The sequence below is a fragment of the Homo sapiens genome, chromosome 18 (assembly GCF_000001405.40).
Source record: "Homo sapiens chromosome 18, GRCh38.p14 Primary Assembly".
Taxonomy (NCBI): Eukaryota; Metazoa; Chordata; class Mammalia; order Primates; family Hominidae; genus Homo; species Homo sapiens.
This window is the reverse complement of record NC_000018.10, coordinates 56,676,671-56,703,971: the sequence shown is the minus strand read 5'-3', so window position 1 is coordinate 56,703,971 and position 27,301 is coordinate 56,676,671. Positions and strand designations below refer to the sequence as shown.

The following is a 27,301-nucleotide window of genomic DNA, read 5'->3' as shown; positions in this document are numbered from 1 at the left end:
AGAGCAATTTGACAATACCTGTTCAAAAGCCTTTAAAAATTAATATGCCCTTTTTTATAGCAACTCCAAGTATAAGAACTTATCCTAAGAAACCATTCTAGAGCTACAAAAATATTTAGCTGTACTAATTATCATTCCCACCGTTGATAACAGGCAAAAAAAAAAACTTTAAAGCAACATTCTAAAATGTCCAATAAAAATGAATTACAGAGTATCATTTAAAATGATGTTGTAGGAATATTCTTAGTGACAAATATGATGTCTTTAGAAAATATCTCTATTTTCTATAACTATGTATTATTTAATTTTTAAAAATAAAATTAATATCAAAAAGATGGTGCCAAATACATAAAAATATATGAAAATGTTCTCAAAATCAAAGAGAATTAAGTGTTAAAGGAAAAAGGATGACACAGAACATTATGTACATTGTATTTTAAGAAAATAATGTTAGTTCTGCTTCCTGTTTTTGCTTAGTTTGTATTCACAAAGTTTGCTCTGCTTGACTTCAGATATTAAGCTATAGGTATAGACATTGCTTTTTAAATGCAATATTCAAATTAAATTAATAACAAAAATCTAGAATCAAAAATGGGAGATAAGAGCAAATTCAGGCAAAAGCTTTCAGTACTTTGTCAGAATAATAGTATGATATATTAAAAAGAATATCTAATTTGTCAATTGCCCTTACTGGCTGTGAACATTAGCCACACTGGTATACACACAGTCACGTGTTCCATTCATATTAGCATACCTGTTTCTAGGAGCCGGGAATCTAATACTGGTTTTAATACTGTCAATTGAAGGCACAAACACTAGTGTTCAGGTTAGATGACGCACATTCCTGTTTTCACAAATCCATGCTGCCCCCTTCTGGGTATTTTTGGAGATTACGTGACCAAAAGTTTAATATGATAAATTAAACAAAAAGTATTCATTCTTTAACTAATATATTAAAGAACTTAGCCTATATGCTTACATGTAGAAACATATCACTGGTACTAAACAGTTTATTTTTCGGCATTTTCGAAAACTTCTGTTCTGAATAATTCTAACAACAGAAAGACAGCTCTGAGAATTTAATCGTCAATGTAAATGAGGAAAATAAATAGTAAATATTAAATAGCTATAATACTAAAAGTAAATAAAACATGACACTTTAATAAGTTTCCCTACTCCTTCCTCTCACTCTCAAAAGTAAACCAGGGTCTGAATTTGGCACTAGCTTTCCCTTCGGTTTTAATATTTTTACTACCTATACATGTATCCAAAAATATGCAGTATGGATTTGTGTTTTTAAAATGTAAATAAATGGTATCACACTGTATTACACACACAAAGGTTTCATACCACAAACTGTACTTCTAAATCCAGCTACCTACCACAATTGAAAATCAACTAAGAAAATATGGATAGTTTCATGTAAAATATCACCACAATTCAATAAGTTGGCAATATTATACTGGGTGATTAGTGTTATTTTTTAATTCATGAATTTTCACTGCTGTCAATCATATCTATCTGGTTTGTTAAGGAAAATGTTTTATAACGTACTCTTGATATATTAAAATAATTTTATTCCCTCAGTATTTTTTCCAAAACCTAGTTTCTTTCTCTAAGAGTAACCTATGTGGAAATACAAGAAAAAGTGCCTGGATCTTGGACAATAGACTCTTTAAAGCTAAAATCTATAATAAAAGGAGAACGATAAGCAACAGGGAAAGGTAAAATAAACTGGGAGGGAGGTGGAAGGGACGATGTCAGATCATCTCATCTGTAACTACATAATTCTAATGATGGAGCGTTGGAGGAAGTTTCCTGCCGCAGCACTCCAAAGGCATTAAAAATATCTGCCTTCCCTTTCACCAGCTCTCTTCAGATTCCCCAGGCAACTGGTACACTCTTGGCCTCCCCTATCCCAGAGTTCAGATTTTGCTAATTCACCCAAGTCTACCTCTCACAACTACTCCAATCTGAAAATCATTCTCTCTCTAACCACGCTGTGTTGTGTAAATTTTGTAGTTGTCAGAATAAAATTAAGCTAATATTCTATAGTTCTGAAGCATTAAAACACTGTAAAATTGAAAATATCTGAAGGATTAATAAGACATTGCACTCAAGGTTAAGGGAACCAAAAAGCTGGAGAACAGGAGAGAAAGGGAGACTTGCACTTCCTTAGTAATATTTATACCTTTTGCATTTTATACTATGTGCATCACTACCTATTTATGAAATATTTTAAGGTACCATAGTAAACAGTCCAAGTACAGATGAAAAGTTAATAGCCCAGTTTAAATTTTAGCTGTTTTTAAAAAAAAGTTTCTAATACATCTCCTATATCTAATATTTGAAGTGGCAATATAATTTAATAACAACATAAAAAGCTCGAGTTTAAATTTGAATCCTATTAAAATTCATAAGAACTGTCACATCTGAATAGCAATAAATCATGAGAAAACCACTCATTTAAAAATAATAAACATAACTTGGAATGATAAAAATGGTATAGGACTTTATATCTGTCATATAATTTTTATACTGTGAACAGCTTTATTTCAAGCAAATGATATATAGTAGTTTGTTTTATCAAGAAACTGAACCTTTATATACTCTTAAAAAAACAGAAATGGCAAATAACCTAATATTAGAAACCTCAAAACCACAGATTCCAACACCTCTCAAGAAGTCAATATGTAGTTAGTCAAACCTCTCAGGTCTTTTCAAGTAGTTTACCAAAGCTCCTTGTTTCTCTGGGTACCTATAATACGCCCTTGCCATCATCACCAAAACATTTGTGATTTATAGTCTGCCTGTACCAGGCTTAAATACTTACCTTATCCTCCTTCTAAAATGTAAGCTTATATTTCTTGGAACATTTAAACACATTACTTCCTCAACTGTTCTCAATAACCCTTCAGAACTACACAATCCTGAATTATTTCAAAATTTTATATCTTAAAGGGTACCTTCAGATTTTTTAATTTTCTTACATTTTAATTCTTTAAAATAATCCGTATCAGGTAAAAGCTAAATATCAGTTAACCAGACTATTCAACGAATCAATACTGAATTTCAAAGATCTTTTCCTAAATGAACTTTTGCTTTTTTAAGAAACAATATTGGGCCTGTAATCCCAGCACTTTGGGAGGCCGAGGCGGGCGGATCACGAGGTCAGGAGATCGAGACCATCCTGGCTAACACGGTGAAACCCCGTCTCTACTAAAAATACAAAAAATTAGCCGGGCGTGGTAGCGGGCGCCTGTAGTCCCAGCTACTCGGGAGGCTGAGGCAGGAGAATGGCGTGAACCCGGGAGGCGGAGCTTGCAGTGAGCCGAGATCGCGCCACTGCACTCCAGCCTGGGCGACAGAGCGAGACTCCGTCTCAAAAAAAAAAAAAAAAAAAAAAGAAACAATATTGGCCAGGCGCAGTGGCTCACACCTGTAATCCCAGCACTTTGAGAGGCCGAGGTGGGTGGATCACGAGGTCGAGAGATCGAGACCATCCTGGCCAACATGGTGAAACCCTGTCTCTACTAAAAATACAAAAATTAGCTGGGCAAGGTGGCACATGCCTTTATTCCCAGCTACATGGGTGACTGAGGCAGGAGAATCACTTGAACCCGGGAGGTGGAGGTTGCAGTGAGCCGAGATCATGCCACTGCACTCCAGCCTGGCAACAGCGTAAGACTCCATCTCAAAAAAAAAAAAAAAAAAAAAAAGAAAATGAAAAATAAACAGTATCTTTAAAAAATGAAAAACCAAAATCCTTTAACACAAAATAAAAGGAAAAATATATTCAATTTAAGTACTCTACATAATACTATATTTAGGCAATATTTGTCATCTTTGAATATGCAAAATTTTTTAAGTAATTAAAAGTCCCACTAACAAAAGAATAGAAAAATAGTTCATTAAAAATAAAGCATACAAAACCACTTAAGTCTGCCACTAAATTAATGCTAATCTCTAGTAGGAATTTGGAAAGACTTTTAGATAAAAAGATATTAAAAACAGCTCAAAAATGAAGGAGTGGGGAAAGAAAGGATGATAAATACCTACTGACATGTATGTGGAGTTTGAAAAGGGGGTCTGGAGTCTGTCTTCAGAGCTCATCTCCAACTTCCAGCTGCAGCATCTGTTCTACCTAGCAGACAGTTTTTCACTTTTTGTTTACTATCTACCTAAGTTAGGAGACAAATAATGAATTATTTAGCTGAGTACTTTTTCTTAACAACTTTGTACGTTTTAGGAAACGTGAAGTGTGACTATAAAGAGAGGAGAAATCATCAGCTTTGTACATTCTTATTCACAGTTAAAGTAATTTTTACACACAACTGACATTTCTCTGTTTTAGAATATCTTTCCTGAACAAATAATTACAAGAAGTCCAAACTCAACTTCCACCTGAATTCACCTAAAACCCAAAACTATTCTAATAAACAAAACAGATGACAAACTCTTCAGCATTTATCTCTAATCATTACTTTTGGTAAATATTTATAATCTTTCAACTACAATTAGCTGATCAACTATCTCAACTACTATTGCCCAATCAAAACGTTTAAACAAAAATAAAAATATATTCTGCTAAAAAGAACAGGACACTGGGTCAATTTATGAGAGGGACTATTCAAGCATTAGAATCAGTATATGATGTAGCAAACTCTAATCTCAGCCACACATTTTCTAAACATTTAGCAAACATCAAACTCTGCTTTTTATTAAGCAATTAGGCTCTTTGATCTTTAAACATACTTGCTGATGTGCATAAAACCACCTAACCAGCTAACTGAACAGGTTATTAACTAGGCAGTCATTATTTATTTGCTAAATTACCCCACAGCTAAAATCAAGTATCTTTGTCTTTATCAGGACTTTTGAATAAGAATTTTAAAATTTCTTTTTTTTCCTTTTTATAATTTCAATTTTTTAAAATTTAACTTTCATTTTAAGTTCAGGGGTACATGCACAGGTTTGTTATACAGGTAAATTTGTGTCATGGGGGTTTGTTGTACAGATTATTGCATCACCCAAGTATTAAGCCCAGTACCCATTAGTTGTTTTTCCCAATCCTCTCCGTCCTCCCACCCAAGAAAATTTCTATTGTTAAGCATGTAATAACTAAATTACAAATTGCAAATACATTATTTTTCAAGTACTAGACTTCCCTGTCTAGATCATTTTTCCTCATATTCTCCAGGCCAACTACCGCTTTTGGCTTGTCCAAGTTTAGTAGCGAGCCCATTCTCCGTTTAGTTGCATATATGTCTATTAGTATTTTATTCACTACATTTTATTTTTAAATACAAATAGTCAAAAACATTTTATTATTTTAAATACCAATCTGAATTTTTTTTTTTTTTTTTGAGACAGAGTCTTGCTCTGTCACCCAGGCTGGAGTGCAGTGGTGCAATCTCAGCTCACTGCAAGCTCCACCTCCTGGGTTCACGCCATTCTCCTGCCTCAGCCTCCCAAGTAGCTGGGACTACAGGCGCCTGCCACCATGCCCAGCTAATTTTTTGTAGTTTTAGTAGAGACGGGGTTTCACCGTGTCAGCCAGGATGGTCTTGATCTCCTGACCTCGTGATCCGCCCCTCTCAGCCTCCCAAAGTGCTGGGATTACAGGCATGAGCCACCATGCCCTGCCCACTTGAAATTTTTTAAAAGAAATTTGTTTAAAAAACACAAGGGAATATATAAGCTAAAAAAATGTATAATTAACATATTCAAATAGAGAGCATGACCTTGTGTAAGCCATTCCAAACTTTTTTTTTTTTAAACAGCGTTTCGCTCCTGTTGCCCAGGTTGGAGTGCAAGGGTACGATCTCAGCTCACTGCAACCCCTGCCTCCCAGGTTCAAGCAATTCTCCTGCCTCAGCCTCCTAAGGAGCTGGGATTACAGGCATGCACCATCACACCTGGCAAATTTTTTGTAATTTTAGTAGAGAAGGGGTTTCTCCATGTTGATCAGGCTGTTCTCGAACTCCCAACTTCAGGTGATACGCCTGCCTCAGCCTCCCAAAGTGCTGGGATTACAGGCTTGAGCCATCGCACCTGGCCCATTCCAAACTTTTAATCACATTTGTAATTTAAAGAAAAACTATATCTTATTCTATCTAATATTCTATTATTTTAAATATTTTATTCTCTCACACACACACAAAATCAATCAAAACAGAAATGGTTGTTCTAAACTAGTATAGAATTATCTAAATAATCAATTTTTGCATTGAAAAATTAGATATTTCACCAAATGTGCATTCAGAAAAGAAAATTGTCATGTTTCACCATAGGACATAACTACTATAAAATGAAGTTTAGGAGAGGGGTTGTAACAATACCTTAATTTATTAATGTAATTACAATAATATCTATTTCACCAAAATATGACATAAAATTGGTTAAATACATAGCAGTTTTTCACAGTGAATAAGAAATTAACAACCTAATTGGAAGAAAGGAATAAAAAAGAAGGAAGAGAACAATTAAGGAGGTAAATTTGCAAATCTGCCAGGAAAAATAATGAGAAACATTGGTACTAGGATTTCTTACAAAGCCACCAATATCAAATCAAACAAAATCTAGCACTGGCAGAACATGGTTGATAAAATAAATTATCAGGAAGATTAAGCAAGTAAGCAGAAGGGCCAAGAAAAATTTTGTAGATTTTGAAATGAGATATCTTGTAGATACTGCAGCAGATACACCAGTAAGACTGTTTTCAATTTCAGTAATACCAGAGCTGGTGACGGTGAATGAATTATGATAAGCATGACTTGTCTACAAGAAGACGATGTCTCTATATGTGCAAACAAATGAGTGAGTGTTGGGAGACAGTGATTATGCACACAAAGATGACTAATCACATGAATAAGTCCCATGATTAATAAACAATAAAAAAAAGTACTGTTATCAGTCCTAAGCCCTCCTAAAATCTCATATTTCTATTTATAAGACATCACAGCCTAACTTAAAATGCATCAGAAAGCAATCTGGTTCCACAAAGGTATGTATGAAATTTTCCAAAATCATCATCAGTGACTGTTAGGCTTTGTCTCCCTTGTTAACAACAATTTTTTATTTAAGTGAACTCTATCGATAAGTATTTTGCCTTTACCAACATATATATTCATTGTCTTTGCTCAGATGGACCCAAAAATAATGAGATTGTACAATGTCTTCAGGCATACTTAAATTATTTTAAAATGTAAAATTGAAACATCATTCAATAAACATTTTCTCAACTGCTGCTATGTTTCAGAAAGAAGCCAGACCATTTTGAAGCTAGTAAAAAAACACTATGTCTCTCTTCTGTTTCTATGTGCCCCAATAGTTAGTGGCCGTAACTTTGCCTAAATGTTACTATTATTTTAGTTTTAAAATTGAAAGGGTTTTCTTAATTATCTTGTCACACTTCCTTTAAGTTAGTCTAGATTCCATTTACATTCCTGATAGTAATATAACTTGGCTCTACCATAGTGAAATAATCTTTTATATAAATCAACTTACACTACAGTTTTCAGGTGGAACTAGAAGTTGAGTAATCTCACCACCATGAACACAGAAGATATGTTTCATTTCTCCAGAAAATATGTCCCAAATTATGACTGAAAAATCCACACCTCCAGATATCAGGTATCTTTGATCATACCGAGCTGAGACCTGATGAGGATATAGCAAACATGTGACTTTGTTCCGATGACCACGGAGTGTTCTGTGAGGTGGCCAACCTGTGAATGAGGGTTTGGATTTAAAATGGGAAAATTAAAGGTTTACCAAGTTTCAGTAAGTAAAAGTAAACATGAATGTTTAGAATAGCTACAAATTATATCACAGCAAAGGCTTCCAATTTTATCTTCTAACACAACTCTGCCTAATTCAGTATCTACTAGCCACATGAGACTACTGAGCACTTGAAATGGGGGTAATCCAGATTCCTATGTGCTGTGAATTTAAACTAGTCATGAGATTTTGAAGAGTTGATACAAAAAACCTAAAATATTTCATCAACAATCTTCATATTGATTAGAAGTTGAAATGAAAATAGTTTTTGCTATATTGGGTTATATAAAATATAGTCAATTTCAACTGTTTCATTTTATTTTTTAACACAGCTATTAGGAAATTACAGGTATGGTTATATATATATGGTTGACATTCGATTTCCACTGGCTGTTGAGAGGCCGAGGCAGGCAGATCACTTGAGGTCAGGAGTTCGAGACCAGCCTGGCCAACATGGTGAAACTGTCCCTACAAAAAATACAAAAATTAGCTGGGTGTGGTGGCACATGCCTATAATCCCAGCTACTTGGGGGGCTGTGCAGGAGAACTGCTTGAACTCAGGAGGCAGAGATTGTAGTGAGCCGAGATCATGCCACTGCACTCTAGTCTGAGCAACACAGTGAGACTCTTTCTCGGAAAAAAAAAAAAAAAAGATTTCTATTGGATGGTACTGTTCTGGAGGATTTTCAGAATTACTGGTAATACAGTAATTATTTAGTAATCCATAGAGATAACTAAGAGATGAAACTATTAACATATCTCAAAGAGATAAAATTGGATACTTCTTTATTTACAGTCATTACATTGTATTAATTCTAATAACAGGCACTGAATATTTTATCTGTGCATTAAACTCTACCAACTACATAGCACCCCAACAACTAACTACACTGATTCACTGTATTTATTTAAAAACAAAAAACAGAGACATTTTCACTCTCTGGGTAAGAGTTGTCAAAACACTTTAGACATACGGAGCTCTTCAGTATACCTCTTCTGAGCATGTGTTCCCCTTGCAACAGCTGTACTATGGCCGTCTGTGTGGCAGGTACAATAACTATGCTTCCATCTTCACGACCACAAACAAGTCGTCCATGTGCTGGTATGTACACACTTGCAGTTACTTTAAGAGGTTCATTACTATTGGGAATCACACTCAGCTGATCTATAATTCCAGCAGGACAAGGATTCAGTTTATCAAATGCCTCTTGCAAACTAATAGAAGTTGTCATTGCCAGCCCTGTAGAGGTTTGGTTTTGTATAAAAGAAAAACATTTGTGCATGTTAAAAAAAATTTAAAACATTAAAATAATGTTGATTGATCCAGTAATCAAAGAAAATGATATATGTACATTATGAATGTTATTCAGTAGTTGGTATTTAAGATATTAAATTAATTAAGAAATTGTTACACATGATTTACTATTACCTTCTTCACTTCCCTGTTTATCAGCTGTGTCTGATATGTTCCAAATATTCAACCTTCCAGAAGAATCACCCTGAATTAACAGTTTATGGAAATATTCTCTGCATCCATAGAAGAACCGAGTAACAGGAGGACAAATTAGCAACTGCCAAAAAAAGTATTTGAATATCTTTAGCTGTATTTTTAATCAAAATATTTCACACATTAATGCTTTTCAAACAAAGATATTAGGTAATTTGTCCCAGTAGCCAAGTTGAAAAAGTGTTTATAGCATGATTATTCAACAATATTTTAATGTAATTCTATAGCACTAACATACATGTCAACTAATATTCTAATCTAGTATAACACACACATTGAATGAAACAAAAACTGTATTTACAGCCTTTCTCTAAAGTTAGCATTTATGCTACTTTTCACCACTTTATAATAACTCATGTGTAGCCACAATAATGCAATTTAACTGCCTATTATTAAATAATTAACACATAGCTAAGCTTTATCAAAAAGAAAAGTCTTCACTTAAAAGGTCAAGATGAGAGAACTCACTATTCCTGCTTTTTTTGCCCACTCCTGATTAATCATTAAGAATAGCAACAAAATTAGGGAACAGTGGCTCATGCTTGTAATCCCAACAATGACACGGAAGATCGCTTGAGGCCAGGAGTCAGAGACCGGCCCTGGACAACTAAGCGAAATCCTGTCTCTACAGGAAAAAAAAAAAAACTTAGCCCAGCATGGTGGCACAGGCTCATAGCTCCAGGTATTCAGGAGGCTGTGGTGGGAGCATCACTTGAGTCCAGGAGTTTGAAGCTACAGTGAACTATCATTTCGCTACTGCACTCCAGCCTGGATGACACAGCAAGACCTTGCCTCAAAAAAACAAAAAGTAGGCTGGCCACAGTGGCTCATGCCTGTAATGCCAGCACTTTGGGAGGCTGCAGCGGGCAGATCACTTGAGGCCAAAAGTTCAAGACCAGCCTGGCCAACATGGTGAAACCCTGTCTCTAATAAAAATACAAAAATTAGCCAGGTGTGGTGGTGCGTGCCTGTAATCCCAGCTACTCGGGAGGCTGAGGCAGGAGAATCGCTTGAACCCAGGAAGCAAAGGTTGCAGTGAGCCGAGATCACACCACTGCACTCCAGCCTGGGAGTCAAAGGGCGACTCCATCTCAAAAAAAAAAAAAAAACAAAAAAAAAAACCAACAAAATTGAACTATCAAGCTTGTGCAACTAGAGGACCCCATTGTTAAAATTAGTATATTTTTCAACTAATAGCATATCATGTTTTACTTGCTCATATTTTCATAATCAATTTGAACCTAGCCTCTGTTAGCTACCAGCTACCAGGAACAAAAACCATTCATTAGGATCTTATGTGTACTTTCATTTTCAGCTCAAGATTTTGTGCCTTCAATGAAGTACTATCTGAAAATACTAAATAGTGTGGTGGACTTCTACTAAAATTCGGAGGATTACTTCACAAATACTGGAATATTAAAGAACAGAATCTTAGCCTGAAAAGCAATATTAAATTTGACTTCAGTTTTGACAATTATAGTTAATAGTCTAATTACTGTATTCAAATACTGGTTAATCAAATACAGTAATTAACAGCTAAAAGCATTAGCCAATGGAAACTACACATATTAAGCATAACCAATCGTTTGACTTTACTTACTGAATTTTTTTTGCTTTTGAGACAGGGTCTCGCCATGTTGCCCAGGCTGGAGTGCAGTGGCACGATCACAGCTCACTGCAGCCTCCACCTCCCAGCTCAAAGGATCTTCCCACTTCAGCCTCCCAAGTAGCTGGGACTACAGGCGTGTACCACCACACCATGCTAATTTTTTTTTTTGTAGAGATGGGGTCTCACTATGTCGCCCAGACTAAAATTTTTAATTGATAAACTATATATTTAACAAGGAAAAATTGCTACAGCAGCTGTAATAACCAATATTCTACATTTCAACACACCACAAAATACACATTTTTAATTTAAAACGTATTAGGGAGCTGATATTTAAAGAAAATGATTTTTTTTTTGGTTTTGCTTATGTATATTTTTTATACAAGTCATTATTCCTTAGGTTAATTGGACATGACTATCTAGGTTGAAGAGCAGTAAGTGGAAGTTTGAATAAAGAACAGACAGGCTAAAGATGATCTTAATTGTACATAGATATACAAATTCTATATATTCAAAATATTCATGGAAAGAACAATTCCCTTCCCCTAGCCACCCGGCCACATAAACGTGAGACGTAATGTTCAGAATGATAAAGCCATGGAAACCTAGAACATCAATTAAAAAAAAAAAAAACAAAAAAAACTCTGCTTTCAAAGCCAAAGCTTCTTTCTTACTGCTCAATATAGAGTTGAAAACCCAGTACTAAGTGCTGTTGTACTTCAACATTAAGTGGATATTAAGCACGTTTTCAGAAATCACAATAAACTTTTATTTTTATAGAGAAAAAATGTTTTATTCTTTATTTCTAGTTTCTAATGATTTAAAATGCTACATGATTTTGTGGAGGTATTGCAATGCCTTGTTCAACAAAGGAACTATTATTACTCAGCATTATTACATAACTATGTGTGCTCTTCTAAAAATATATCTGTCACTATGTTTATAATTGCATGATAGTATGTAAAATAATTTACACCATCAATATGAACTTCATCAAAAAGTCAATTTCAATACGCAATTAGCATAAGATCACTTGTACTCTTAGAAAAACGAATGTTATTTCATAGGCATATTATATGTTTTTAAACAAGCAGATTTTGAAATGTCCTTATAACTGACCATCTCAAAATGTTTTACATTTAACACAGTGCTTTGAATTGTATCAAATTTTTTAAACCTATCACAAGACAATAAATACAGTTGTAGAAGTTTTTCAATGTAACTTTCAATTATAAATGACACCTCAAGAATTTTACCTCTTTATCTTTTCGATCCAAGAGGATATGTTGTACAGGAGGAATTAAATTTTCAACTGCCTTCCCCACATCACTGCGGAATGAATCACTAGCTGGAAGGCAACTGAATATGGGAAAAATACAATATTCAATTAAAATACTGACATTAAATACTTTATAATTCCATATGACAAGGTTTGTTGGTATTGGACAAAAAGGGGATTTTTAAATTATAGTTAATTTAATGCAGGCATTAAATTAAATAATGTTATAAAAATATTGTCCTTCAAATAAAAATCCACCTAATTTTTGCACTTAGAAGTTAAATTGGAATTAAAAATCTAACTTAAGAAGTTCTGAAGTGTTTTATCAAAGTTAAATATTTATAATACATACATTTTCTTAAAGTCAGGTTGTACCCTAAATTCTGAATCTTTTACTTTTGATGACTGTCCTAATTTATTACTTGCTGCATACCTGGCAGGTAGTTTGTAAATATAACTTTGCCCATTTTCTGTCCAAATGATGACTTTATCTGATGAGACAAAGTCCCCCCCGGTCCATGTCTGTCCATTTTCACTAGGACCTGAACACAACAAGGAATAGTCTCCGGCATCGAACACCTGCAAGGAAGAAAGAAATTCACAATCTACTCCATATTGTTGTAAAAAGTAAGATCCAGTGACATTTCAAGTTTAAAAAAAAAGCCTGGAAATGTATTTAGAAAACTCAGTTTGCTGCATCAGATAAAGAAAGTTTGTCAATAAGCCCTGGGAGAGGTCACCTTCAATAGGGAAGACACAACTAGGCCCCTAGTTATGGGTAACCTCCCTGTGGACAGGGAATAGGCTATGACAAGTGGAGCGAGGGTGCTCCCCACTACAGGAACAGTTATCCTCAGACTTTCTATCTAGTGAAAGTATTCCATTAAAGAATTGCAAATAATAGGGAATCAACCTCAAATATACAGGCTTGAGCCCTGTTTTATTTCTATGTCTAGTAACAGCATTTTTTTTTTTTTCTTGAGACAAAGTCTTGCTCTGCCACCCAGGCTGAAGTGCAGTGGCACAATCAGAGCTCACTGCAACCTCAAACTCCTGGGCTCAAGTGATTCTCCTACCTCAGCCTAGCTGGGACTGTAAGAGCATGCCACCATGCCCTGCTAACTTTTTTATTTCTTATTTCTTGTAGAGACAGGGTCTCACCATGTTGCCCAGGCTGGTCTCGAACTCCTGGGCTCAAGTGATCCTCCCACCCTGGCCTCCTAAAGTGCTGGGATTACAGGCATGAGCCACCTTGCCTGGCCCAGTAGCAACATTTCTAACAATAAACTCTGGCATGGGAATAACTCATTATTATAAGGGAGTTACTTTGCTCTACATTATTTCATCAATGTTCTAAAATACTATAGTTAACAGGCTCAATTTTACTATGTAATAATTTTCACATATAAAATTCAAATCCCTATAATTTCACCAGCAGTAAAGGCTACTAACCTTATAGGGCTTTACATTTGCAAGGCACTGCAAAGTTTACAAAGTACCTTTACAATTATTATCTCATATGACCCTGAGAATCACCGCAGATGTTACTATTCCAGTTTACAGACAAGAAATGGACACAAATAAAGATTTGATCAATTGCTCAAAGTCATGTGTCCAGTAAGTGATAGAGCCAAAGCTAAAAACTCTGCTCTTATAATTCCTAGCAGAATTATTCTATCACTTTTAATATTTGAAAAAAGTACATTAAATGTTGTTAGAAAATTTTCCCAGGAGGAATGAGTAATTCCTCATTCCTCAATAGATCAGAGGTTTTATTTTACTTTTCTTTAAAGAAAACAATGAAGTTGCTTGTATACAGCCTTGAAGTTAGAACACATCCTAGCTGCATTTACCATGATTTCTTATAATATTTATCAGTGTATAACATCAGCACTACAATTATAGCCAAGAAAACTCCAAGAAAGAGTAAGGAAGGGAAACTAGCCCTCCAGCCCTATTATCTGTTAAAGCAAATCATACAACTATAAAAGTTAGAACAATATAGTATTAATTCATGAATGGGCAGACAAATCCAGAAGTCTGAAAACAGATTCCAATAATGTAGGAATATAGTATATTATCAAGGGACAACAGACGAATGAATTATTCAACAAATGGCATCAGGAACTGGGGGGGTCCATCTGACATAAAAATAAAATTGGATCTATATCTCACAATTTATACAAAATAAATTCCAGATTAAAGATTCAAAGGTATGTAAGACAAAACCATATAGGCCAGGCACGGTGGCTCATGCCTATAATCCCAGCCCTTTGGGAGGCCAAGGCAAGCTGACCACTTGATGCCAGGAGTTCAAGACCAGCCTGAGCAACAAGGTGAAACCCATCTCTACTAAAAATACAAAAATTGGTCAGGCGTGGTGGTCCATGCCTGTGATCCCAGCTACTTGGGAGGCTGAGGCAGGAGAATCCCTTGAACCTGAGAGGCAGAGGTTACAGTGAGCCGAGATTGCACCATTGCACTCCAGCCTGGGCGACAGCAAGACTCTGTCTCAAAACAAACAGACAAAATTAAAAATAAAACCATATAAAAATTAGGGGAAAATGAAAGATTTGAATCTCAGCTTATGGTAAGCCCAATTGAAAACTTCTTCATGATAATAAGTATCTTAAAAAGCCATTCTGGTGGGTTGTAGTACTATCTCAGTATTGTCTTAATATGATGATTAGTGAAGTTGAGCACCTTTCTATACATTTACTGGCCATCTGGCTTTCATCTTTTGTGAAATATTTTTGTCCAATTTCCTGCTGAGTGTTCCGTAGTTTTCTTCCTGATTTGCAGGAGTTGGGTTTTTTAATAAATACTGGACAATTCTTCATCATCTATGTATATTGTAATTATCTCCTCTGACTACGTGAGTTGTCTTTTTACTCTTATGTATGCATTTTAAGAAAGAAAAAGCTGTTCTCACATAATTACAAAATGTTTATAATGGACACAAATGAAACTGGTACTAGATACTCTTATCTGGAAGGGAAAGGGAAGTTCCAGCGGGGAAGAGACACATTTTTCACTGTATCCTCTTGCCCCTTTTTTTTTTTCCCCAAGACAGAGTCTTGCTCTGTCAGCCAGGCTGGAGTGCAGTGCCGCAATCTCGGCTCACTGCAACCTCTGCCTCCCGGGCTCAAGTAATTATTCTGCCTCAGTCTCCCAAGTAGCTGGGATTACAGGTGTGCGTCACCATGCACTGCTGATTTTTTTTTTTTTTTTTTGTATTTTTAGTAGAGACGGGGTTTCACATGTTGGCCAGGCTGGTCTCGAACTCCTGACCTTGTGATCTGCCTGCCTCGGGCCTCCCAAAGTGCTGGGATTACAGGCATGAGCCACCATGCCCAGATTGTTTTTTTATTACTATTTGCATCTGTTTTAAATTTTAACACAAAGGAAGAAACCCATAAAACCTACTCTAAGCAAGCAGCAGCTAGCTTTTCCTAATTTTATTCTAATATAGTAAGTGACAACGATAAGGTTAAGGTGCTGCTTCCCTAGTCATTCCTTTCACCATATGGCCCATCCCCTTGTGTTCTAAGCTCAGGAAACCAGCCCATTCCAGGTTCTAATTATGACACAGTACAGCATAGTAGTAATGAGAGCAGCTGCTGCAGTCAGATACCCATGTTGTAACTCAGCAACTCCGCTGCCATTTATATAACCTTTGTCAAGTTATTCATCCCTTTACTGCCTCAGCTGCCTCATCTGCAAAATGGGGAAAGTAACAAGTCCTCCTGTGGTAAGCAGTCTCTAACAGGGCCCCAGTGATCCCAAACCCTGGTATTCATACCCATGTGTAATCCTCTCCCCTGAGTATAGGTTGCATTTTGTGACTGTTTTTAAAGAACAAAATGTAGCCAGGAATGGTGGCTCATGCTTATAATCCCAGCACTTTGGGGGGCTGAGGCAGGAGGATCGCCTGAGCCCAGGAGTTCAAGACCGGCCTGGGCAACAGGGTGAGACCCCATCTCTACAAAAAAATTCTAAAATTAGCCAGGCTTGGTAATGCGTGCCTGTAGTCCTAGCAACTCAGGAGGCTGAGGTGGGAGGATCCTTTGAGGCCAGGAGTTCAAGGCTGTAGTGAACTATGATTGTGCCATTGCACTCCAGCCTGGGCTACAGAATGAGACCACATCTCTTTAAAAAAACAAAAAACAAAAACAAGAACCTGGGTGATAAAACATGTTTGTTGTTTTAAACTAATAATTTTTGGAATGATTTGTTATTCAGAATTAAATAGCTAATCCACCTAACCTCAGAGAGTTGTAAGGATTAAAAGAAATAATACATGGCAAGCTTTGAAAAAAGTGCTAGTCACAGAGCAAGTGCCCAAAACATGCTATTTTTCTATTATGGAAATATTAAAGTCTGGCAATGTGGAAGTAATATACCTCTTCCATCATTAGCTCTGAAGTGATATGAGAAGACTTTCCAACTGCAAGAAGCCAGGGAAAATATTGACTATTAGCTTTAATAACACCCTACAAAGAAATGTCCAAACTGTAGAAAACTCCCTACTACTGCTTATATTGTACTGATAAGACAGTGACTAAAACAGTAGCAAAAAGGAGAAATTAAGACCAATGAAATACAGTCTCTAATTGAATCATTCCATAAACACAAACAAAAAAAGACAACTACATATAGCCAAGTCCCAACTTCTCAAAATGTGATATCAAAAGCAGACATGAATTCTAAATGATGAAAATAGTCTTGCACCAAGTACTTCTTTAGGGTTCTTTGGAAATCTGATAAACCAATGTCTTGAAGGATAAAAATACAGCTTCTTATTTATATAATTATCTTACCCTCCAATATTTGGAACACACAACCAAAAGTGACCTTTGTGTAAATGCACAAAAAGAGATGCTTTGGCAATTCTGACAATAAATTGGTTTGGATTCCTCCTCAAATATTGGCTCAGTATCCTGAAAAGAAAGATTTGTAAAAATTTAGGAATAGCATGATTGTCAATTAAAATTATCACACAATGATAAAGGCAACAAAATTAAATAAAGGCATCGCTTCATATGTTCATCATTTTAGCCCCTCAGGTAAGCGCCACGGTAGTAAAAAGCAGCAAAGATATACCCTAAAAGCAGCTAGACACAAATACTGTTGCTACAAAATCCCCTGAGATTTCAATTCTGATGATACTCAGAGTATCATCACTCTGGTAATGACAGATGATAAAGTCTGCCTTAATCCTAATTTTTGTAGCTATATGTGCTTTTTTAAAAAATCCAATTAATTCCTCTATCTTCTCCTGAATTCCATGCCTAAAAATTCCCTAGCTGAAGAGAGTAGCATCAAAATTGTCAGACTTCATCTTTCTCATTGATAAAAAAAAGAACAAGGAATTCAAGCCCAAAGAACTGAAATAGATGACTAAAAATGGCTTTGTATATTTTTTGTGGTGATTTGCTTTATTTTTTTTTCCTTTGAGTCAATTTAAACAGAAGCAGTTGAGGAGAACCTCACCTCTTTTACGTTTCTCCTCTACATATCCTGCGCAATATGTTTCTCTATTTTATATCCATGATAGAGCAGATGTTGCCATTAAAAGTAAATAAAAAATTCACTCCCATAGCATACTAGAGAATCTTCCATACTATGCCTATAAGAAAATTATCAAAAAATAATCACTTTTTCCTTCCCCCTTAAAAAAAATGGAAGGGGCATATCATTACTAAAATTTTGAGCTACAGAGAATAAAAACAGAGAAATCACCCCAGTTTCCTTTTTCTCACCTGCATGTCACTTATTTCCGAGGTAACAATCCAGACCTTCAGGATGCCAGTCACCGAGAGTGCTACCACTGTGTCCTCTAAAATGAGAAGGGACAAAAAAGCAGCCCAGGTTACGAACATAATACGCTTTTTCTAAATATTAAGATGTTTTGCTTGAATAAAATTAAACAATAGCATGTTTTACAATTAGCAGAAAAACATAATTCTCTATTTCATGAAACAGAAACCAGGTTTTGAAACACAAGTTAATAAAGATGGCCAACAACTTAAAATTCAAGGAAAATTATTTCTAGCTAATTGAATTTTTTATTTCTAATCAAGAAGTTTTTAATAATTTCAAATGTTCTTGATTACTATGTTAACAATGAACTTATACACTTCAAAATTTACAACTTCTAATTCTTTATCATGGATGAGCTCAAGCACTTCATTTCTTCAAGGCACAAATTTCTCCCCCTTTCCCACATACCTTGCCACCTTCCAGATACTTCATTGCACATTACACCCTCCCCAGAGTGTGATCAAGAGAAAGATATGATATAAAATCTAAGTTCCTAAGCTTCAGGTAAGGGACTAGTGACAGCACCAGGGTCACGTACAGGAATTTTGAGAGGATGAGCATTGGAAAGCAGTCAACGTAGGCTCCAGAGTGAAGGAGGGGAATGTTAAAAGCAAAATCACATTTTTCTTCACTAATTAACCAATGAACTTTAGATAACAAACTATCTTAAATACAATTTTCTTATCTGGAAGCAAATATAAATGAATAACAACAGTACCTATCCTAATGGGTTGTTATAAAAATTAAGACACGCCAAGGGAAAACATTCAGCACATACTAAATTCTCAATAAAGTTGAGTTATTACTGTTATTTAAAAAATTGTTATCTTTAAATAAAAACCTTATCAATATCACATAGTTCTCTAGGCACTGTAAGGCATTGAAATTAATTGATTTAAGTTACAGTCTATTCTGTTCAGACTACAGTGTAAACATATATAAAAGGAGTATAAAAATTTTAAATAGGCAAACCGCTTGGTCACAAATACAGATCTGTTTTAAATAAAAGATTCATTGTAACTAATATTAGAGATAAATATATGAATGATTAGTTCCCTATTGCCTGGAAAATTAACGCAAATCTCATTCTCACTGTTATGCTTAGGAATAAAGCAGTAATTCTCTAATATGCATAAAAAACCTCTCTGAGAAGGTTCACATTAGAGAAGCCTGCTGAATTTTATTTTACCAAACATCTCCCAAATATATTTAACCAGAGATCCCACCTTTTTGACAAATACCTATTAACAAACTTCAGAACCAACACTCTGAAGAACAGCGGCAGGAAATGAAGCCAGTGCATCCACTATTCCGACAGTCCACTTTAGTGCAGGCCTGCACCACTCTCAGCTGGGCAACTAATCTCTTAATTTCCTCCCATCTTTGAAGTTTAAAGCATAAGTCCCTTCAGAGACTGCCCATCATCTACAGTGAGAGCCTGCAAGCTACAGCTCATGAGTCAACTCCAGCCCACTGGCTGTTTTTGTAAATAAAGTTTTATCGCAACACAGCCAGGCTCAATCACTAATGTATTGTCTGCGGCTGTTTTTGTGCTAAAACAGCAGAGTTGAGTAGTTGAAACATGGACCATATGGCCTGCAGAGCCTAAAATATTTCATATCTGGCCCTTTACAGTATAAGTTTGACAACCCCTGATCCACAAAGTGAATTCCCTAGCTGATACACAGGGCTTTCAAGACCTGTCTCCTGCCAGCTCTGCCAGCCTTATATCCTGCCACTCCTTCCCTCATACTTCTTGTCCCAGAAAAAGATAATCTATAGTTTCACATATACACCTATCATAATTTTAATGCTTTTGTACCTACAGACTATCTCCTTTGCCAGAAACATCCTGATCGCAGGTCTGCTAAACTCTTTCTCATCTTCCAAATCCTAGATCAGACTTCATCTGATCTGGACAGCCCTCTACTGCCCTCAATCAGCCTCACTGCCATCCTCTCCATACTATTTTTCCATCTTGCACACTTTGCACTCTAAACTGTTATTTGTTTATATATCATTGTCCTTTACTAGAATTTGACTCCCTTAAGTATTAATATTTCAATCCCTTGCACCTGGAAGACTGTAGGCATTCGATAAATATTTGCTGAATGACTACTGAATAAAAAGCTATGTGCTGATTTTCCTACCCTAAGAGGTTACAAAGCAAAAGCTCCTATAAAGTTGAAGGCAATTCACTAATGGGAGGGAAGCAGTGTAACACAGTGGTTAAAGTAACTACTCCGGGGTCCTTTAGCAAAGATGGCATCACACTAACTCTCATCATTCTCCTCATCTATATGATGAATATTAACAGTACCTACCCCACTAAGTATTGTGAGAATTGATCATATGTAAATGCTTAGCATGGTGCTTGGTAGTGTAAACACACAGTAAATGAAAGTCCTCATGGTGATGGTGCTGCTGATACCGGTGGTAGTGGTGGTGGTTATTTACTGGCCTCTATAGGAAGCACATAACTATGAAGCCATTTGAAAGTAAAAGAATGCTCCTTAAAAGGCTTATAAAAGTAGACATTCAATGTTCTGCATTAACTATTACTCTTTTCCTGACAACTTTACTTTTGCTTTTATGGTTGTTATTAAGAGGTTTCAACAAAAATGAAGAAAAGATAATAATATTTATTGAGCATCAAGTACATATCAGCCCCTTCCAGGAACTTTCATTAAATTTAACTGTGTATAATCTCTCCTTTTTCACTGTCCCCATTTGAAATGGAAACATTCCCTATGCCTCTTAAGCAAGTGACAGAACCAGGCCCCAGAAATATACAGGTAAAACTACAGCTCTTCCCAAAGGTAAAACTACACCCCCAAAGGTTAAGCTATTCTTCCTCCACTTCAGATAATCACCCATATACTCTGTCAAAAGCTGATGATCTATACATCATGGAATGGAGATAAGCCAACAATTAAGTCTTCATTCAATCAAAGATTTCTTTATGAAGGAAGAAACAGACCATAAATTATTGGTGTAGTTATTTCTTACATAGAAGAATATATCCCAAAGTATTAATTTATGATAAATTGTAGAATGTTCTAGTAAACTAAACATTAAGTCATGGTGCTAAAGCTCCTAACAGGCATAATACACTGACCTTGTGTTCGGTGGGATCGAATAATACTCATGGAGCTAATCCAGTCTGGTGATATCTTTGATACTAAGGAGTATAATACTTCAAGGCTGGTAGCATCCACAACAAGGATTTCAGGGTAATGTCCGTGGCATAAAAGCCTTCCTTCTCGCTGATTCCCAACAGAGAACTGGTAGAACTACATTCATGCCAAAAGGAAAAAAGATTTCTGAGTGTTCTCCTTTAATTTAGATACTTGATTAATATGCATTCATCAAGGTTATTACAATATTCTCCTAAAGCTCAACTTCTTCGGTAAGAATTTTAGATATTTACCAAATGGTACATATTATATGGGTGTATGTGCACACACATATATTAAGTTATATTAAAATTTTTAAATAGCTAACAAAAATTATTTTCCTAACATCTTATCCTCCCTTTTGAATTATTTTGAAATAGAATTCGTGATAATTGTTTTTATCCCCCTCTAGCATCTAAAACAGAACTGTTGAATAAATTAATAAAACACCTGAATAAAATCAGCTTTACAAATCACATCAAAAGGAAGCTCAGGTGGGTCACAAAAATAACATGAATTTCAAATAAGTAGAAATAGGGAAATATAAGCTTATAATTACTAGTTATGCAAATACAATTTAGAAGGATGATTGATGTTCAAACATAATCAGGGCCTCAGCTTCCTTATATGTAAAATGATATACTCCTATTTAATATGTAAGGGTGTCAGGAGGACTAAATCAAACACAATACAAGAAATGCCTACACTGTATCTGCTCAATAAATGTGAGTTACCTTCTCTTCCTTTCCCATTGAAATCATAATTGATCATATTTTTAATATAATTCATAATTTTTCCAACACTCAACACAGTAAACAATTAGTAAACTGAAGTACAGAGAATTAGACAGCTATGAAAAAGTAAAAAAGAATACCAGGAATGTAAGTCAGAAACTACAAATTCCTGTGTAACACTCTACATATTAAGCCAGGCATATGAAACAGTCATGTCTTCTGAAGAGTTGGAAAGTTTTAAAAATACATGTCCAAGGACCAACTGCATGAGCAATAAAAAAGATATGGTCCAAAAAGTAGGTCAATTTGTGTCAATCACAAGTGGAATCACAAAGGATTTTGCAAGGAAGAATTCCATTATTTAGGACCTAGAGCATTTTCCCAAGTAGTGAAGGGGCTCTCACTTGGGTAACCAAGGTAGCCCAGAATAGCAGAAGCAGCAGCAATTTGCTTGCCCTGTATCTTTCCCCATTAGTCTCCTCTCCTTTCTTACCCCTCCCAACTGTACCATCTTACGAGGAACACTTTTACCGCTTCAATTCTAGTTTTCTTGTCTTGTTACTACCACCCACCATTTTTCATATAAAAATATAGGCTCAATGTTTTAAAAATATTTTAAATTATATACTTATAATAGTTTGTACTTAGAGTCACAGAAATAGAAACTAACCTGTATGCCAGTATGTGTGCAAGCTAATTTTGTAAATTCAATACATCTGCCATCACTCACATCCCAGAGGCACATCTCTCTATAAAACAAAATAATGGTCAGCTTTGAGTGTGACTTTTTAAAGCACCATTCAACTTTGTCACAGTGATTTAAAATTAATCTTCCATTAAAACTAATATATTTCAGAAAAAGTAGCATACAGTTATTACTGTTGTTCATCAAAATTTCCAGTCCTCCCTCGACCCTCCTAACACCCCTTCCAAACTGCCCACCCCCCACCATAGTCCACATTCTTTGTAGGCCCATAATAAGACTGCATTTCCTGGTTCCGTTTTGGTTAATGAAGTCTTGTAAGTAGTTCTGGCCGGAACCAATGCAAGGCTTTCCAGAGCTCTGTTCCAGAGACTGGCTGCTTCACACAGAGGTTGCTCCCTCACTCTGAACCTCAAAGTAAGGATAACAGTGAAGCAGAGTAGAGGCCTCAAGTGACACATGACGGACAAGTGACAAAAACAAGAAATAAACTTCTAATTTAAACTACTGAGATTTTATATTTGTCATCCAGGTAGCTAGAGAATTTCAAACTGCAAAAAACAAAAGTTAAAGTCAACTGAATTTCAAACTTTTGCAAATAAAATACCAGATTCCAGTTTTCATTCTGTATGTATTGTAATTTTATTGAATGCACACAAAAAAACTAGATATAAGATTGAAAGATATAACATTGAAAATTAGAAATGTCAACATGCCTTGTCTATTGAAGAAATACATTTAACAAAAAAAATTAATAAAATGCAATGATCCTGATATTATTAGAGTTTTCTTTAAGATACCATTTTCTATATCTCATATGGTATTATATAAGACAATTTTTCAAAGAGCATTCAATTTAAAATATGCATTCTAATGGGAATTATCCTTTAATTGACCAACAGCTACTATATTTTTAGCTTATGTTGCTTCTTTTTGTTCCAGTGAATTATACAAGGTTCTCTTCAGTGGGGAGAACAATTTCTGTTTTGTTTTGCTTTTTTGAGACAGGGTCTCACTGTGTCACCCAGGCTGGAGTGCAGTGGCACAATCACAGCTCATAACAGCCTCAATCTCCTGGGCTCGGGTGATCCTACCACCTCAGCCTCCTAAGTAGCTCAGACTACAGGTGCACGCCATCATGCCCGGCTAGTTTTTGCATTTTTTTGTAGAGACAGGGTTTTAACATGTTGCTCAGGCTGGTCTCAAACTCCTGTGCTCACGTGATCCGCCCATCCCAGCCTCCCAAAGTGTTAGGATTACAGGAGTGAGCCACCACACATAGCAACAATTTCTTATATAATTCTCTTCAAGTTCCCCAACTTTCTTCAATAGTATATTGTATAAATATATGTAATTTTCTAAGCACCAAAAAATGTTTTGAAAACTGTTTGTAAATCTTTTTAAACATTTAATAACATTGGGCTCTACAACTACTGTTCAATGACCTGCCTCTCTAAAGCAAGCTGCATTCTGAGACTTGGGAACACAAATAGTTATGTTAGTGTATTAATACATATCAATATAACGTTATGAACTTTTTCATGGCATCATCTTCAAAATTTATGCTAGCCTAGCATCATTCAGGTTTTTAAAAGGAAATCTCAAAGTTGTCTGGCAACTCAATAAAAACAACATGGAGATGAATGATCGTGCTTTAACTTTTATAGTATTCTGAGTTCCTTAAAAGCAAGCCAAAGGACATAATCATAAATTACAATAAAAGTATTATAAAATCATTAACACAGATAAAATTTACATCCCTAAAATCAGATTTTAAATATCTACATTTAGATTTAGACAATACAAAGCATTTATTTAGGAGATATTCTAAAAGAAAAAAAAAATACCTCGCTACTTACAAGGCATTGGTGCTAGTTATAAAGACTCATGAGAAAAAGAGGCAAATGAGAAAATACTTACCCACTTTCAGATGCACTCACAATATACTGTTTGTCACTGGAAGCACAAGCTTTAGACAAACAAGTGATTGATGCTGTATGACCAAACAACAGTGCTCGAGGATTAATCTAGAAATGCAAAAATATGCTAGTTTAAGTACCAAACTTAAAAATTAACCTTCTATTTGAGTGTCAGCTTAGCCATAGTAAAATAGAAGACTAGGTAGACTGCTAAGATTTTTTATTCTAGCCCCTGGCTCTTGCAAAGCACTGCTGGAGCCGCCTGGGAGAACTTCTAGCCCTGAAAGGAAAGACACAGGCCTGGCTGGCTTCACTACTGGCTGATTGTAGAGACCCAGGGCCTTAAAACAAACATAGGCAGTAGCCAGGGAGTGGTTACAACAGGCCTTAAGCAAAACCCAGTGCTATGCTGGCTTCAGGTGTGACTCAGTGCAGTACTAGTGAAGGTGGACACAGGGGTGCTTGTGTCATTCCACCCCCCAGTCCAAGTAATTCATAACAGAGACAGAGAGAGAGACTCCATTTGTGTGAGGGAAAGGATGAACAGAGAACAACAGTCTCTGCCTGGTAATCCAGAGAATTGTCCCGAATCTTGTCCAAGCCCATCAAGGCGGTACCTCTACGAGTCTGCAAGAACCACAGTGCTGCTGGGTGCGGTGCCTCATGTCTGTAATCCCAGCACTTTGGGAGGCTAAGGTGGGCAGATCATGAGGTCAGGAGTTCAAGACCAGCCTGACCAATGTGGTAAAACCCCATCTCTACTAAAAATACAAAAATTAGCCAGGCGTGGTGGCGCGCACCTGTAATTCCAGCTACTCAGGAGGCTGAGGCAGGAGAATCGCTTGAACCCAGGAGGCAGAGGTTGCAGTGAGCCGAGATCGCTCCACTGCACTCCAGCTTGGGGGACAGAGTGAGACTCCGTCTCAAAAAAAAAAAAGACCACAGTGTTACTGGGTCTCCCCTAAAGCAGATACAGCTTTGAACACAACACCCAAGTCCTTTCGCATATCTGGAAAGCCTTCCCAAGAAGGACAGGTACAAACAAGTCCAGACAGTGAAGAATACAATAAATACTTAATTCCTCCATGGCCAGACAAGACAAACATCTACAAGTATCAAGACCATCCAGGAAAACACAACCTCACCAAATGAAGGAAATAAGGCAACAGGGACCAATCCGGGAGAAACAAATACGTGACTGTTCAGACAGATAATTCGAAATAGGGTTTGAATTCTCTGTTTTGAGAAAACTCAAAGAAATTCAAGATAACACAGAGAAAGAATTCAGAGTTCTATCAGACAAATTTAAGAGACTGAAATAATAAAAAAGAATCTGGCAGAAATTCTGAAGCTGAAAATGCAATTGGCATACTAAAGAATGTATCAGAATCTTTTAATAGCGGAAATGATCAAGCAGAGAAAAGAAATAGTGAGCTTGAAGATGGCCTATTTGAAAATATACAGTCAAAGGAAACAAAAGAAAAGAGAATAAAAAGCCATGAAGCATGCCTACAGGATCTAGAAAATAGCCTCAAAAGGGCAAATATATGAGTTACTGGTCATAAAGAGGAGGCAGAGAAGGAGATAGGGGTAGAAAGTTTATACAAAGGAATAATAACAAAGAATCCCCAAATCTAGAGAACGATACAAATATCCAAGTACTTATAGAACACCAAGCAAATTTAACCCAAAGATGACTACCTCACGGTATTTAATAATCAAACTCCCAGAGGTCAAGGATTAAGAAAGAATCCTAAAAGCCAAAAAAGAAAAGACACAACATACACTGGGCCAAGCACAGTGGCTCATGCCTAAAATCTCAGCACTCTGGGAGGTCCGAGGTGGGTGAATCACTTGAGGCCAGGAGTTTGAGACCAGCCTGGGCAAAATGGCAAAACCCCATCTCTACTAAAAATACAAAAATTAGCCAGGTGGGGTGGCACACATCTGTAGTCCCAGCTACTTGGGAGGCTGAGGCACAGGAATCCCTGGAACCCAGGAGGCAGAGGTTGCAGGAAGTTGAGATCACGCCACTGCACTTCAGCCTGGGCAACAGAGAAATACTGTCTCAAAATAAACAAGCAAACAATGGAGCTCCAACACGTCTGGAACCAGACTTTTCAGTGGAAATCTTACAGGCCAGGGGAGAGTGGCATGACATATTTAAAGTACCAAAGGAAAGAATAGTAAATCCAGCAAAAATATCCCTGAAGCCTGAAAGAGAAATAAAGACTTTCTAGACAAACAAAAGCCAAGGGATTTCATCAATCCTAGACCTATCCTACAAGAAATGCAAAAGGGAGTACTTCGATCAGAAAGAAAAGGATGTTAGTGAGCATCTGAAGGTACAAACTCACCAGTAATAGTAAGTACACAGAAAAACACAGAATATTGCAACACTGTAACTATGTTGTGTAAACTACTCTTAAGTAGAAAGAGTAAATGAAACAATCAAAAATAACTACAACGTTTCAAGACACAGACGGTACAATAAGATATAATTAGTAACAATAAAAAGTTAAAAAGCTGACAGGCCCCTGGCTCATGCCTGTAATTCCAGCACTTAGCCTGACACAGTGACATGGGCCTGTAGTCCCAGATACTTGGAGGCTGGGGTGGCAGGATTGCCTGAGCCCAGGAAGACAGACTGCAGTGAGCCAAGGTCATGCCACTCCACTCCAGCTTGGGTGACAAAGTGGGACCCTGTCTCCCAAAAAAAAAACCAAAAAAACAAAAAAAAAAGTTAAAAAGCAAGGGAAGTTAAGGTGT

The 27,301-nt window shown here is 36.2% G+C and overlaps 1 protein-coding gene across 13 annotated transcripts in view; it reads right to left on the bottom strand.

Moving 5' to 3' along the window:
- WDR7 (WD repeat domain 7) overlaps window positions 1-27,301 on the bottom strand; it is a 385,248-nt gene that overhangs the window by 332,635 nt on the left and 25,312 nt on the right. For 12 of the 13 annotated variants that reach the window (XR_007066131.1, XR_007066132.1, XR_007066133.1 and 9 more), the window contains exons 3-12: window positions 24,534-24,640; window positions 22,581-22,659; window positions 21,119-21,293; window positions 17,940-18,016; window positions 16,998-17,117; window positions 12,611-12,756; window positions 12,155-12,257; window positions 9,212-9,353; window positions 8,774-9,022; window positions 7,510-7,730 (exon numbers count right to left, since the gene is read on the bottom strand). Coding sequence is in view for 9 of the 13 variants with exons in the window: in NM_015285.3 (NP_056100.2) it covers window positions 7,510-7,730; window positions 8,774-9,022; window positions 9,212-9,353; window positions 12,155-12,257; window positions 12,611-12,756; window positions 16,998-17,117; window positions 17,940-18,016; window positions 21,119-21,293; window positions 22,581-22,659; window positions 24,534-24,640 (1,419 nt within the window). In the remaining 4 variants the exon portion in view is untranslated. Of the gene's footprint in view, window positions 1-4,059; window positions 4,182-7,509; window positions 7,731-8,773; window positions 9,023-9,211; window positions 9,354-12,154; window positions 12,258-12,610; window positions 12,757-16,997; window positions 17,118-17,939; window positions 18,017-21,118; window positions 21,294-22,580; window positions 22,660-24,533; window positions 24,641-27,301 lie in introns of those variants that run through there. The other variant, XM_017025683.1, reaches the window with a different exon arrangement.